The sequence below is a fragment of the Homo sapiens genome, chromosome 5 (assembly GCF_000001405.40).
Source record: "Homo sapiens chromosome 5, GRCh38.p14 Primary Assembly".
In the NCBI taxonomy this organism is placed as follows: domain Eukaryota; kingdom Metazoa; phylum Chordata; class Mammalia; order Primates; family Hominidae; genus Homo; species Homo sapiens.
Window position 1 is genome coordinate 62367440 of NC_000005.10, and position 16278 is coordinate 62383717.

The window sequence follows — 16278 nt, forward strand, 5'->3', positions numbered from 1 at the left end:
TATTTTTAGTAGAGGCAGGGTTTCACTATGTTGGCTAGGCTGGTCTCGAACTCCTGACCTCAGGTGATCCACCTGCCTCGGCCTCCCAAAGTGCTAGGATTACAGGCGTGAGCCACCCCGCCTGGCCCTTTCTGGTGTTCTATATGGGTTACATTTTGTTATTCATATTAATAGTCTTATAAACATTATAAACATTATAACTGGGTTTTTACAGATAGAAGGACAGAATGCATTACAGACTACTAAAGCAGTTTATTCTGTATAGTCATGAAATGCCTTTGGAACTTTGAATTATAATGGGCATATTTATATTTGATCCATAGATTTTTTTTTCCCACTGCTCTTGAGTGACTTTATTTACCACTGCTCTTATTTTGAATGACTGTTTAGTGTTAAATTTCTCTTCTCAAATGTTAAATTTGTGATTTTAACCTAGAGACAAAATTCCTCTTTGTAATCCATTTCTAGTATAGCAGTTCTCTTAATTCAAGTATAGCAGTTCTCTTAATTTTGCTGGATAAAAGTATCTGTCCTATATCTTTGTTTTAATCACTATGGAAATGTTATTTTTTAATCTTTTATTAAAATGTAAAATACTTATGCATATAGAAAAGTACCTAAAGTATAAGTGATTAATTAAATGGATAATGGATACTTATAAAGTAAAAACTCCTGTCATTGGTTTGGGAAATAGAGCATTATTGGCCCCCCAAAAGGTTCCCCATGTGCTCCTTCCTGTTCACAAATCCTGAATAACATGCCTTATTCATCTGTCTCTACCCTGATGTAACCCATGGATTAACTTCTGTGGAATACTTTTCTTGTTTTTTTTTTTCCTCTTTTTAAAAATAATTTTACTATGAATCTATTTCTGAGTAACATAGGTAGCTGATTTGAACATTACACAATGGTATTATAACCCCCCGGGTTTTTTTTGCATCTTGTTTCTAAAGGGATTTTCTTAATGGTAGTAAACACTGTTGGACAATATCAACCTATTGAGCTTTTGCAAAAAAAGTGATTAAAATATAATCACTTCTTTAAAAATGTAATAGGGCCAGGCGCGGTGGCTTACACCTTTAATCCCAGTGCTTTTGGTGGCCCAGGCGGGTGGATTGCTTGAGCCCAGAAATTCGAGACCAGTCTGGGCAACATAGCAAAACCCCGTCTCTATAAAAAATACAAAAATTAGCCTGGCATGGTGGCATGCATCTGTAGTCCCAGCCACTTGGGGGGCTGAGGTGAGAGGATTGCTTGAACCTGGAATGTTGAGTCTACAGTGAGTTGTAATTGCACCACTGCACTCTAGCCTGGGCAACAGAGCAAGACCTTGTCTTAAAAAAAAAAAAAGTAATAGAACTACATTTCTAAGTATGAACTATTATATTTTGTAAATTTAATCCCTTTAAAGTTTGAATTATGAGCTCCTAGCTGCAAATCCTTATTGTGTTAGTTTTAATTGATCTTGGTAATTAACGTTTTTGATATGTGGGATTTTTATCATTAATTTAAAATGTTTCTTATTTCAGAATAATTCTTGAGAAAGATGAGGAACAGCCTAGTGTAATAGATTCTTGCCATGTTGTAGAATTAAAACAAACAAAACCCCTCTGTTTCTTAAGATTTGAAACTACAAAAGATTCCTCCCTAATATTGTGAAAATGCTATATCTAGCTGTTCCTCTAGTTCACTTAGGTCAAAGTAAAATGTTTTAACCTACTGTTATATCATGTAACTCACTTGCAACATGACTAACCATCTGGGACACTGTATTAATCGGTTCTCACACTGCTACAAAGGAATACCCGAGACTGGGTAATTTATGAAGGTTTAATTGACTCACAGTTCAGCATGGCCACAGAGGCTTCAGGAAACTTACAGTCATGGTGGAAGGTGAAGGGGAAGCAAGGCACCTTCACCAGGCAGCAGGAAGGAGAAGTGCCAAGCAAACTGGGGAAGAGCCTCCTATAAAACCATTAGATCTTGTGAGAACTCACTATCACGAGAACAGCCTGGAGGAAGTTGCCCCCATGATTCAGTTACCTCCACGTGGTCTCTCCCTTGACACTTGGAGATTATGGAAATTATAATTTAAGATGAGATTTGAGTGGGGACAGAAAGCCTAACCATATCAGACACATAATTGTTTCAATTTTATTTCCAAATCTCTAGGAATAAAGATTTTTAACCTTCCTTGATACTCATACCAATGTTTTGTGACCTTAAGAGTCAGTAATTTTTTTTTTTAACAGCCAAAAATAATTCATTCCTCCTTTATACTAAATCTGCCTTATTTTTTTTAGGCCAATACTTTGAGGTGGTGGGTAGGTGGCATTACATTAAAATTTCATATTTTTAGGAAACTATTTCTGTCTTAAGTGTTTAAACTTTTTTTGTATTTAAGACATAGCTTAGTGATTGAAGTGTTATTTCTCAGGACAAAATAGGTTTAATAACTTCCTTACTACTTAATGGTATCAAAGCCTCGGGAAAGTTACTTAACCTCTCTCTGTCTTTATTTCCTCATCTTTAGAATAGACAGCTAATGACCATGTCCATCTTAAAGGATTGTTTTTGAGGACTAAAAGAAGTGATCTGTGTAAAATGTTTAGCACAGTACCTGGGATATATTAATAGGAATAGTTATCCCTATTGCTACTTTAGTGAGCAGTTCTGTCTAAAAAATTCGGTTAGACAGATGTGAAAGCAATGTTTTTTCATATCCTTATATTAGAATCATATACTTTGAAAGTTTTATATGGGAATTGTGGGATAGTTTGTAACAGTACACATTGCTGCTAAGTGATTAAGTTGACAAGTCTAGTTCATCAGATGACAATTAGAGATACTTTATTTATTTATTTATTTATTTAAGATGGAGTCTTGCTATGTCACCCAGGCTGGAGTGCAGTGGCACAATCTCAGCTCACTGCAGCCTCTGACTCCGGGGTTCAAGCGATTCTCCTGCCTCAGCCTCCCGAGTAGCTGGGATTACAGGCGCCCGTCACCACGCCCAGCTAATTTTTTTGTATTTTTTAGTAGAGATGGAGTTTCACCATGTTGGCCAGGCTGGTCTCGAACTCCTGACCTTAAGTGATCTGCCCGCCTCAGCCTCTGAAAGTACTGGGATTACAGCATAAGCCACTGCACCCAGCCAGACAATTAGAGATATTTTAGAGGAGAGTACAAGGGAAAACTTTCAGAGTGGAAGGAATGGTTGTCTCAAGGAAAAAAAATTTATAGGATATATGAGAAATAGACAGTGGCCTCTATCCTGAAGCAGAGATACTTAATCTTTGGGTAATGGAAGAGGTTAGAGTGATTGGGTCTTGGGTAGAAGAGTGATTAGAGTGATTAGGAGTTTTTAGTAACATGTTTGAAGAATGTGATTCTTGTATGTAGTATAGTCTGGCTTGGGCAAGAGGGCTTTGGATAGAGGAAAAAATGTGTGGATGAAGCTAATAGGGTGTCTAAATTAAAAGATTTAGATAAGAAATGGGGTGGGAGTGAAAATAGTTGTTTGTATTAGAAATTTAGATTTTTCAGGCCAGACGCTGTAGCTCATGCTTGTAATCCCAGTACTTTGGGAGGCCGAGGCAGGAGGATCACTTGAGTCCAGGAGTTTGAGACCAGCCTGAGCAACCTAACGAGACCTCATCTCTACAAAAAAATAAAAAATTAGCCGGGGGTGGTGGCACACCAGTGATAGTCCCAGCTGAGGTGGGAGGATCACTTGAGCAGGAGGTCAAGGCTGCAATGAGCCATGACTGAGCCACTGCAGTATAGCCTGGGTGATATGGTGAGACCTTATCTCAAAAAGGAAAAAAAACATATTTAGATTTTTCAGCATGTGTGGTAAATAAACTTTAAGGATAAAAGGCAGATGAATCCAATATTGAACCTTTGACAGTAGATATTAACCAATAGGTCAAAGAAAGACTGTTAGTAGAGGAAACATATTAGTTTGATTTATATGAAGATATTGATACTTGTTTTTGACCTAAAAAGAAGGGAATTTCATTTAGTTCAACCTAAGAGAAATGACAAGAAAATCAGAGAATATGGTTATTATATTGAAGTGTTTAAATAACATAGGCTTTGTACTCAGGGCTAGGTTTTAACCTCAGTTATGCCACATTCTCAGTGAATGACCTTAGAGAAGATACTTTATTTCTGAGTCATTTTTCTCATCTATAAAATCAAAGATGGTTGAAGGACTAAATAATATAATGCCTAAAAATGACTAATCCTAATACCTGACATACAGGAGGTACTTAATAAATATTTTATATGGGTATGAAATAGGGTTGGCCCAAAAGAGACATAAGGAATTACATAGATGGGGTGAGAAAAGTCATAATTTGGTTAAATATAACTATTGAAGATGTTAGCAAAAGCAATTTAAATTTCATTGCTAAAGGCTGTTCTCAACCAGAGTTCTTCATCTGAATCACCAACCACTGAAAATAGAGTGAATATTTTCTCAGTTATACCAAGGACATTTCACAGCTAATGCCATTCTGGATGCATAGGAAAGAAGTTAATTCATTACAAACAATGGATGCCTTAAGACATTAGGACTTAATTCCCTTGTGTCCTGTTTGGAAAAGACTGCAAAAATGTTGAAGACTCATGAATGCTAATAAACAAATAGTCATGGTACTGACTACATGAAGAAATTAGATTGAGTGGTCATGTAGTTAGGGGGGCATTTCAGATTTAAGTGACTTAGTTAAACTTCTAGGAAGGATTATGAGAAAAGAGGAAAATACACCAGAAAGGAAAGACTTAGGACTATAGAGCAGGGGATCAATAGAACAAAGATGTTCAAAAACCTCTTAAAATTTGTTATTTGTAAAATAATATTCTAAATACATTGTCACAACAATATCAATATCCTTTTCTAAACAAAAGTGAATACTAAATGAAAATGTGCAATGTGCATTGCTGTCTTTCAAGAGCATTTTCTTTTAATTTGTTGCTCTTTTGGTGCTGCAGAGTAAAGGAGTTTGGAATTAGTCCATCAGACATTCCCTTCTCACAGGGTAGTGGCAGTCGCCCTGATCTCTCTCCTTCTTATGAATATGACGACTTTTCTCCTTCAGTTACCAGGTCTACTTCATTCTATACATAAGATGTTTATTTGTATACTTTCTTTTGAATTGTGCTTTGTATAAACATTTCATTTGCTATTTTTGTCCTGAGCCATTTTAGTTTTCATTGTCATTTCATTTGGCAGGTGGTGGTTGTACTGCATGATCTGCATTCTTACATCTTTTATTAATTTGTTTGCTTTAAAATGTTGATTTAGAATTCAGGCTTCCTATTTCCCCCTCATATTTTTAAGGATGATGTCACTTTTGCATACTTACCATTAAAATTACCATACTTACCATCGAATTGTTAAAAGATAAATTATCTTGCTTAAAATGAAGAGATTGCCTTTATGCTGTATGATCTTATAAGTTTCCTTGTCTGCAAGGAGCCTCTTGACATAGAAAGTTTACCCTCTTTTGGCCGGGCGTGGTGGCTCACACCTGTAATCCCAGCACTTTGGGAGGCGGAGGCTGGTGGATCACCTGAGGTTGAGAATTCCAGACCAACCTGGCCAAGTGGTGAAAAAAAAAAAAAATTTTTTTTAAAGTAAGGAAAGTTTACCCTTTCCCAAATGTGTAAGTTTAAATATAATGAGTAAACACTTTTCAAATGATAAAACTTAAAATCTTATAATCTTTATACATTATAAATAAAATTATTTTACATGTAGCTATTTTAATTGAGCATGATAACTACCAGAAATCTGCAGGGTTTTTTTGTTTTGTTTCAGCAGTGATCCATTTATTGGTCTAATTGTTATTGTTTACATTTTTCTGTTCATATAATTTAATTGCAATAACATCAACTTTGATGAGCCAGTAGTAAATAAAATGGAAAATTTAAAAAATTTTTTAAATCATAACAAGTTTTTTTCTTTGAATACTGAATCTACATACTGTTCTCATTTAATTTACACAATAATTATATTTGATATAATATAATATGAATTATATAAAGTTACCTAAGCAGATTTCCTAAAACTAAACAACCACTTAAGTGTTTCTACAGATTTCAGATAAATTTTACCTATAAAGGTGACATCATCAATCTTAGTATGTTAACTGAATTGCGTGTATATTGAATAGGCTGGTATTTTCTCGTTCCTCTGCATGAGTGTTTTTAACTTTAGATACCTCTTATGTATTTATAGGGTCAAAGAATTGACTGTAGATCCAACTGCTGCTGGTGATGTTCGTCCAATAATGCACCATCCACCAAACCAGATTGATGACTTAGAGACACAGTGGGGTGTGGGGAGTTCCCCTCAGAGAGATGATCTAAAACTTCTTTGTGAACAAAATGTGAGTGTACTATGGTTGTAAATGTTATAATCTTAGTTCATTTCATCAGTAGCAGAACTTAACTGAAAACTATCATTTAAATGAGGTGTCAGGCTGTGGGTGTGGTGGCTCAAGCTTGTAATCTCACCAATTTGGGAGGCTGAGTGAGAGGACTGCTTGAGGCCAGGAGTTCAAGACCAGCCTGGACAATTTAATGAGACCCTTTCTCTACAAAAAATTTAAAAATCATCCAGATGTGGTGGTATACACCTGTAAGTCTAGCTACTAGGCAGGCTGAGGTGGGAGGATTGCTTGAGCACAGGAATTCTGGGCTGTAGTGGACTGTCATAGCATCACTGCACTCTAGCCTAGGTGACAGAGCGAGACCTTGTCTCTTAAAATAAATGAGTAAATAAGTCAGGGGTCAGCAAACTACAGCCTGTGGGCCAGCCATCTATTTTTACAAATAAAGTTTTATTGGAACATATCCATGTTTATTCTCTTAAGTGTTGTCTGGCTGCTTTCTTACCTACCATAACAGCAGTAACAGAGACTGTTTGGCTCATAAACCCAAAACATGTATTATCTGGCCCTTTAAGGAAGTTTCCAACTCCCAATCTAAACCATTCATTTTTTTCCCTTAGATTTTTGTCTGATATTAAAATTTGGGAAAAATTTAAAGTAATATAGGGAAAAACAACTTCCAACTCCCAATCTAAACCATTCATTTTTTTCCCTCAGATTTTTGTCTGCTATTAAAATTTGGGAAAAATTTAAAGTAATATAGGGGAAAACAACTTTAAAAATTACACATATAATAAATATTATAAAGCTTAAAAACAAGCCAGGCGCGGTGTCTCACGCCTGTAATCCGAGGCCGAGGTGGGCGGATCACTTAAGGTCAGGAGTTCAAGACCAGCCTGGCCAACATGGTAAAACCTGTGTCTACTAACTACAAAAATTAGCTGAGCATGGTGGCACACGCCTGTAGTCCCAGCTACTCAGGAGGCTGAGGGATGAAAATCGCTTGAAACTGGGAGGTGGAGGTTGCAGTGAGCTGAGATCCCACCACTGCACTCCAGTCTGGGCATCAGAGTGAGACTCCATCTCAAAAAAAATTTTTTAAAGCTTAGAAACAAAAGAACTGTGGACATATGCATCTATATTGAAAGGATGTATGCACTATATTAAAATCAAACAGCAAAATACTAACATTTGTTAAATCTGATTGCTTTTCTGTATGATTAAAATTTTTAATGATACTTTATAATTTAAATTTTTGATTTCCCAATTATAAAAATAAATACATGCCCATTGTATAAGGATAGAAAGAGATAAAGAAATAAAAAGGTATATATAATACACTTTCACATAATTGCTTTTAATGTATTGAGAGGGTTCTTTTCTGTGTGTGAGATGTAAAGGTGTGTTTTTAAAATGCATATTCTGCATAGTTTGGTGTCATTCTATTCCCACTAAGTCTTATCATGGCATTTTCTCATCATGTTAAGTTAGCATTGATTAGTTGCTTACTACATGACATACATTGCTAAGCATTTTATTTATTATCTGATCTCATTATCACAACTCATTGTAGTGGGTACTATAATTATCCCTACTTTATAACTGATATTCTGAGGTTTAAATAATTTGACCAAGATTTTACAAGTAGTAAGTACTGAAGCCAGGATTGAAATTTAGATCTTATTCCAGCGCCAAACCTTGTATCAATTAAACTCATTGCTTCCTGCAATACAGTATTCTTTGTAAACAATGTTAGTTAGTTCTAATACTTTGTAGCAGATACTTAGCCCAAAATATTCTAGAGTAACAGATACACTTACTACTTTTTGTTACCATGTTCCAAATCACTGTTACTAAAGCAGGGCTTAAAGCAGTGGTCCTTAACTAGGAGCAGTTTGGCCCCCAAAGCAAAATGTATGGATATTTTGCTTGTCACAACTAAGGTGATGCTGCTAGCATATAGTGGGTAGAGCCAGGAATGCTGCTGAACATCATACAGTGCACAGGAGTGTCCCCCTCACCTTATCCCCATACAATGTCAGTAGTTCCAAGACTGGAAAAACCTGGTTCAAACTAAGAGTTCTAAACTTTGAACCATAAAAACTAAAAATGAGATTCTGGCCTCAGTCCATCACTTATGTCCAGAATTTTTAAGAGAGACTGTAGTTGCTTTTAGACTCTTTAAAGTAAACCCTGCATTGCATCTAGATATGTTACCTCCCAAAGATGTGGAAAACCAGAGCAAGATAAGTACTCCCTATACATATCTTTCCATTTTATTATTGCATCTATTGGGCCTCTGTAGAGCCTTAATTTGGAGAGGTTAGATGACCAGAACTAATCCAGGGGAGTATGACATCATGAGTTTTTACAGCCTCCATGTTTGAGAGAGTGTGCATTTCTGTCACCTTTGCCACACCCAGGGAATTATCTTGCCATGACTCAGCATTAGCCTTTAGTTAAGTATTGGTGCGTGTGTACATATTATTATTGCTATATTGTCTTAACAAAGTAGATTAAAATGGAACAGCATCTAAGACACGCTCTAGAGATCGGAGAAGTTTTTTTTGTTTGTTTGTTTGTTTGTTTGTTTTTTTGAGGTGGAATCTTGCTCTGTCACCCAGGCTGGAGTGCAATGGCACGATCTCAGCTTACTGCAACCTCCGCCTCCCGGGTTAAAGTGATTCTCCTGCCTCAGCCTCCCGAGTAGCTGGGATTACAGGCGCACACCACCATGCCCAGCTAATTTTTTATATTTTTAGTAGAGACGGGGTTTCACCATGATGGCCAAGCTGGTTTCGAACTCCTGACCTCAAGTGATCCGCCCGCCTCAGCCTCCCAGAGGGCTAGGATTACAGGAGTGAGCCACCACACCCAGCCGAAGTTTTTTTTTGTTTTTTGTTTTGTTTTGTTTTGTTTTTTAATCATCATCTGAACATGGCCTGGAATCAGAGAAGCTCTGACTTGCTATAGGACGAAAATATGAATATATTGTATATAGTTGTCCCTCAGTTATACATGGAGGATTGGTTCCAGGACTGCCTGAATATACCCAAATTGCGCATACACAAGTCCCACAGCTGGCCCCGTGGAACTTGCAAATATGAAAAGTTGGGCCTCTGAATATGAAGGTTTCACATCTCTCAAATACTGTATTTTCAGTCTGCATTGGTTGAAAACCAGATATAAGTGGACAAGCACTGTTCAAACATGTATTGTTCTAGAGTCAACTATATGTTTTTTGTTGTTGATGAAGTAAAATTGTGAATTGTCCATTGAAATTTCTATAAAAACTGGTATAAATATATTCTGTAGTATATTTAAGAAATTAGTTAAGAGTTAAGTCCTTTACAACACTAATTTGATAGTCATGAAAGACATTTTCTTTACATCATCTAAAGATACTATCTTCATATCTTTTTTAACAAAAGAAACTTAAACATGTAAATTAAATTGTTAGTGAAAAGTAGACAATACTGAGGAAATATTTCATACATTTACAGCCTGCAATAACTGTATTTTTGAAAAGTTGGGCTGTTCCAAAAGAGAGTACTCTTTCAGCATAGTTCGGCAATAAAGCTTAGGCTAAGTGAAAAATATTCCCTACTCATCTAAGTTTTAGTTGTCTTATTGAGAGTTGCATAAATATTTTTACCCAAAGAAAGAAATCGTGGCTTTGCCTTTTATATATATTTTACTAGCCTTTACCATTCAAGCCTCTTCAATTTCTAAATGATATTTTTCTAAATTAAAAAAAACTACTTTTATAACATTTAAAATACACACTATATCATAATTTCTTAACTATTTTTATTTTAAGGAAGAAGAAGTCTCTCCACAGTTGTTTACTTTCCACGAAGCTGTTTCACAAATGGTAGAAATGGAAGAACAAGTTGTAGAAGATCACAGGGCAGTGTTCCAGGTAAAGTAAGACAGGACTTTCCTTCAAAATATTTCTTGAGATAAATTAAGAATTTGTCATAATTCCTTAAATATCACACTATTCCTTAAAAAATACTTGTTTGTATATATGTATATGTGTATTTGTAGGGCATGTGACATGGCAAATTTTTAATACAATGAACGATGGCTACAAATAACATTTCTTTGCACCATGGTGAAACGTTCTACTTTATTTACCTCCCGTCCCCCTTATTGGTTTTTGTCATTTGTCCATTTTTAGGGAAGAGTGTCACTTCTGCCCACCAGTACTTCCTTCTAAATGTTAGGCCAATGTATTTGATAGCAGTTAAGAAAAACTCTTTTAAAGGGTTTTGGAGCAGTTGAGGAAGTATCAGTTGTTGCAGAAAAGAGAGACTACTTACTTCAGGAGATGGAGAGTTACTGCTCTGAGCTGTCAGTGGCAAGTTAAGGGAAGGGTGTTATATCACCACCTGTAGCAGTAACTCCTTAGGCATTCATTCCATTATGCATTCAACCTGTTAAAAGTATTTACTATATGATACTCTACTCCCCTTTTTTTAAACAAGAAAATGTCCTATCATGGTGATATTTGAGGGAGTGAAGATATCATTTGGACATCTTTATGAAGACTGTACAATTGACTGGCAGCCGCCCCCACCCTCCTGTAATACTATGAACACTTCTTGAGAAAAAAACAATAACTGCCTCCCTTGTTGACTTGTATTCCTTCTTTGATGTTGAAGGAATCTTTGTCATTAAACAAAGGAACTTCAGCTCTAGGCCATTCAAGAACCTGGATAAAGGGCTCAAAAATGACAGAGAACACTTTATGTCAGATTAGGATACACGTTCATTAAAACTATTAGAGTTTGGCCAGGCGCAGTGGCTCATGCCTGTAATACCAGCACTGTGGGAGGCCCAGGAGGGTGGATCACTTGAGCCCAGGAATTCAAGACTAGCCTGGGCAACATGGTGAAACCCTGTCTCTACAAAAAATACAAAAATTAGCTGGGTGAGGTATAGCATGCCTGTAGTCCCAGCTACTCGGGAGGCTGAGGTAGGATTCCTTGAGCCTGGGAGGTGGAAGTTGCAGTGAGCTGAGATCACACCACTGCACTCCAGCCTGGGCAACAGAGTGAGAAAAAAACAAAAACTCTAGAGTTTTAGTCAAACTGTTATTATGAGACTCTCTTTAGAAGCCAAGGTGTTTAAGTAGAGAACGGATGCTAATAATTTAAGAAAATTACACACCTGTAATCCCAGCACTTTGGGAGGCCAGGGTGGATGGATTGCTTGAGCCCTGGAGTTAGAGACCAGCCTAGGCAACATGGCAAAACCCCATCTCTATTTAAAAACAAAAAGAAAAGTGTCATATGTGCCCTTTTGGAACAAGGTATCCTATAAAGACCATCATTTCCCACTCTGCCATTTTTTAGATAAAATCTTACAGCTGTTTATTGGTAAAATTAGGTGTTCTGACTTTCAACCCAGTATTCTTTTTACAATTCTCTATATCATTCCTCTGTATTATGATCTGCCATTTCACAAAATAAGGTTTTGTTAAACCAAAATTAAGTGTACAGCTAAAGGAAAAGGAAAGAAAAATTGGAGTGTATGACCAGGCGTGGTGGCTCACACCTGTAATCCCAGCACTTTGGGAGGCCGAGACGGGTGGATCACCTGAGTTTGCGAGTTCGATACCAGCCTGACCAATATGGAGAAACCCTGTCTCTACTAAAAATACAGAATTAGCTGGGCATGGTGGCGCATGCCTGTAATCCCAGCTACTTGGGAGGCTGAGGCAGGAGAATTGCTTGAACCCAGCAGGCGGAGGTTGCAGTGAGCCAAGATTGTGCCATTGCACACCAGCCTGAGCAACAAGAGTGAAACTCAGGAAAAAAAAAAAAAAGGAAAATTGGAGTATTTTTGCATTTTCTAATTAATATGTTTCCTAATCAAGACACATACCTATGTTAACCAGTTCTGTCTGGTGCTATATAGTCTAATTATAATTAGTCATTAAAGTCAATTGATGTTCGGAAAATTGAGATTGTATGCATCCTAAAAGCAAATCCACGTATAAGAGCTTTTATGTCCAAATAGCTCTTTAATTCAGAAAGATCTGGTCTTGTTTTGTTTTTTGTTTTGAGACAGTCTCGCTCTGTCGCCCAGGCTGGAGTGCAATGGCGCGATCTCGGCTCACTATAACCCCTGCCTCCTGGGTTCAAGCTATTTTCCTGCCTCAGCCTCCCAAGTAACTGGGATTGCAGGCGTGTGCCATCACGCCTGGCTAATTTTTTGTATTTTTAGAAGAGACAGGGTTTCACCATGTTGGCCCGGCTGATCTTGAACTCCTGACCTCAAAGTGATCCACTTGCCTCAGCCTTCTGAAGTGCTGGGATTCCAGGCGTGAGCCACCATGCCCAGCTGGAATTTATTATTACCTCTTGGCCCAACCACTGTGAGTCCCTAATTGGATATGTTAGTTTGTCAGGTTCTAGGCTACCATAGCCCCCATCAAAGTGCTCAGTAGCTTTATTATGCACATTCTTCCCGTTTTAGGGATGGATATTGAGGTTTTGAGACTTACTCTCCTCTTTAATATTGATGTATTTGATGCATTCCCTCCCCAAAATTCCCATCCAAAGTAGAGTAAAGATAGAGAAATGAAATGATGTTGCTCAGCCCATCTTTCATGTGTTTGTGTTAGATTTTGAGGACATACAGTTGACCCTTGAAAACTGCAGGGGGTTAAGGATGCTGACCCCCAGCACAGTTGGAAATATATATAACTTTTGAGCCCCCCTAAAACTTGACTATTGACCAGAAGCCTTACCAATAACATAAAAGTCTATGAGTACATATTTTGTATGTTATATATGTGATATAAGGTATTCTTACCACAAAGTAAGCTAGAGAAAAGAAAATGGTATTAAGAAAATCGTAAGAAAGGAGAATTATATTTACTATTAAGTAGAAGTGCATCATCATAAAGGTCTTCATCCTCATCATCTTCACATTGAGTAGGCTGAGGAGGAAGAGGCAGGCTGGACCTGGTGTCTCAGGGCTGGCAGAAGTGGAGGAGGTGGAAGGGATGGCAGGAGAGGCAGGCATACTCAGCGTAACTTACATTGAAAAAAATCCACATAAGTGGACCCAAACAGTTTAAACCCATGTTGTTCCAGAGTCAACTGTATTTCTTAATTATACTGTCTGTGAATAAAGATGTTTTATGTCTATTGACATTTTAGAGAATACTATCTTAAGTATGTTTGATTATATTTAACAGAATTGTAATTTGGTTTCTGTTGCACAAAGATGCTTATTGGATTATCGAATTTTTGTCCTTGTAGGAATCTATTCGGTGGTTAGAAGATGAAAAGGCCCTCTTAGAGATGACTGAAGAAGTAGATTATGATGTCGATTCATATGCTACACAACTTGAAGCTATTCTTGAGCAAAAAATAGACATTTTAACTGAACTGCGGGGTAATTCTTTTTCCATTTTAATGTTTGAAATCTGATTGGTATTGGTATGTATATTGGTGAGAGGGCTTCTTCGTATTGCAAGAGGACATACGAAGTGAAAATTAGGGGCACTGTTTAGCATCTATTTTCCAGAGGTATAAAGACAACTAACCATTGTGGTTTTTCTAAAAGTCATGGCATAGCATTTCAAGTTTTCTCTCATATTTTAAGAAGACAGTCATCTTAAAGAGAGAAAATGTATTTTTAACAAATTTATAAATTTTATGTACCTATTCAGATCTTTAGTTTGGTAGGCTGATGCTTATGAGAATTATCTTCTTTCTGTGCCTTTTTTCGGGTCTCATTCTGTTGCCCAGGCTGGAGCACAGGGGCGTGATCATGGCTTACTGCATCCTCAACCTCCTGTGCTCAAGCAGTCCTCCCACCTCAGTCTCCTGAGTAGCTGGGACTACAGGCGCAAGCCACCACACCCAGCTAATTTTTAATTTTTTGTAGAGATGGGGTCTTGCTATGTTGCTCAGGCTGTCTCAAACTCCTGGGCTCAAGCAGTCCTCCTGCCTTGACCTCCCAAAATGGCGGGATTACAGGCATGAGCCACCACACTTGGCCTCTGCCACTTTTTTTTAAATGAAGGAGGTGTCAAGATGACTATCCTCTGTACCTTACTCATGAAGGGAAGCATGTGCCTTACCTACTAAGTCGTGTCTTTTTGGTTTTTTAGTTAGCTTATCTGTGTAGCTTCAGCTATGTATTTCTTTATGTGTTAATTTCTTAGGCATTTGCACACTGTTGGCTTTGTTTAGGTGTGAGTGACCATCTGGATGTGTGTGTACACGCAATCCAACATAAACCAGAATGAAATTCCTAATTTGGGGCAGTAAATAAGCTGCTTAATTTTTTTAAGGAGGCCCTCTGTGATGTTGATTAGTTGTTTTGAAGGGTTATTTTTCTTTTAAATTTATTCATTTATTTAAATTGACATCCCAGCCTGGGCAACATAGAGATCCCATCTCTAAAAAATAATTTAAAAATTTAAAAATTAGCCAGGTATGGTGGTGCCTGCCTGTAGTCCCAGCTATTGGGAGGCTGAAGTGGGAGGATCACTTGATCCCAGGAGTTTGAGGCTGCAGTGAGCTAGGATCACGCCACTGCACTCTGGTTTGGGCAACACAGTGAGATCCTGTCTCAAAAAATTAAAGAGTTGACAGATTAAAATGTATGTAATAGGTACAACATGATGTTTTGAAGTATATACACGTTGAGTATCCCTTATGTGAAAAGCTTTGAACAAGAAGTGTTTTGGATTTCAGATTTTTTCAGATTTTTGAATATTTGCATTATACCAAAAGTTTGGGATTTTTGGAACACTTCAGGTTTCAGGTTTTTTTTTTTTTTTTGTCATGGAGTTTTGCTCTTATTGTCCAGGCTGGGTTACAATGGCACGATCTCAGCTCAATGCAACCTCTACCTCCCAGGTTCAAGCAATTTTCCTGCCTCAGCCTCCCGAGTAGTTGGGATTACAGGCACGCGCCACAATGCACAGCTAACTTCTGTATCTAGACGGGGTTTCACCATGTTGGCCAGGCTGGTCTTGAACTCCTCACCTCAGGTGATCCACCTGCCTCGGCCTCCCAAAGTGCTGGGATTACAGATGTGAGGCACCGAGCCTGGCTTTGCTTTTTTTTTTTTTTTTGAGATAGTGTCTTGCTTTATCGCCCAGGCTGGAGTGCAGTGGCAATCTCAGCTCACTGCGACCTCCGCCTCCCAGGTTCAAGCAATTCTTCTGCCTCAGGCTTCTGAGTAGCTGGGATTACAGGCGTGTGCCACTGTACCCGGCTACTTTTTGTATTTTTAGTAGAGACCGGGTTTCACCATATTGGCCAGGCTGGTATCGAACTCCTGACCTCACGTGATGCACCCACCTCAACCTCTCAAAGTGCTGAGATTACAGGCATGAGCCACCATGCCTGGCCAGATTTTTTTTTTTTTTTTTTTTTTTTTTTTTTTGAGATGGAGTCTCACTCTGTCACGCAGGCTGGAGTGCAGTGGAGCGATCTTGGCTCAGTGAAAGCTCCGCCTCCCAGGTTCATGCCATTCTCCTGCCTCAGCCTCTTGAGTAGCTGGGACTACAGGCGCCCGCCACCACGCCTGGCTAATTTTTTTGTATTTTTAGTAGAGACGGGGTTTCATTGTGTTAGTCAGGATGGTCTCGATCTCCTGACCTTGTGATCCGCCCATCTCGGCCTCCGAAAGTGCTGGGATTACAGGCATGAGCCACCACGCCCGGCCTGCACAGCCAGATTTTTGGATGAGATGTTCAACACATATATGTTGCTGACTGGTTATGAAGTTGGTTATTTGAAATCATATTTTGTAAAGTCAGCAGTGACTGTTGAACTAAAATTTTCATTTGTTTCTCATATTGTTCATATTCAACCCTTTATTTAAATTGTTTTGATCATTT

The 16278-nt window shown here is 37.9% G+C and overlaps 1 protein-coding gene across 4 annotated transcripts in view; it reads left to right on the top strand.

Annotated features, from left to right (window-relative positions):
• The window catches only part of KIF2A (kinesin family member 2A), an 84820-nt gene that overhangs the window by 61234 nt on the left and 7308 nt on the right, over positions 1-16278 (top strand). For 3 of the 4 annotated variants that reach the window (NM_001243952.2, NM_004520.5, NM_001243953.2), the window contains 3 exons: positions 6248-6398; positions 10222-10323; positions 13679-13814. In NM_001243952.2, coding sequence (NP_001230881.2) covers positions 6248-6398; positions 10222-10323; positions 13679-13814 — 389 coding nt within the window. Of the gene's footprint in view, positions 1-4998; positions 5113-6247; positions 6399-10221; positions 10324-13678; positions 13815-16278 lie in introns of all 4 variants that reach the window. The other variant, NM_001098511.3, reaches the window with a different exon arrangement.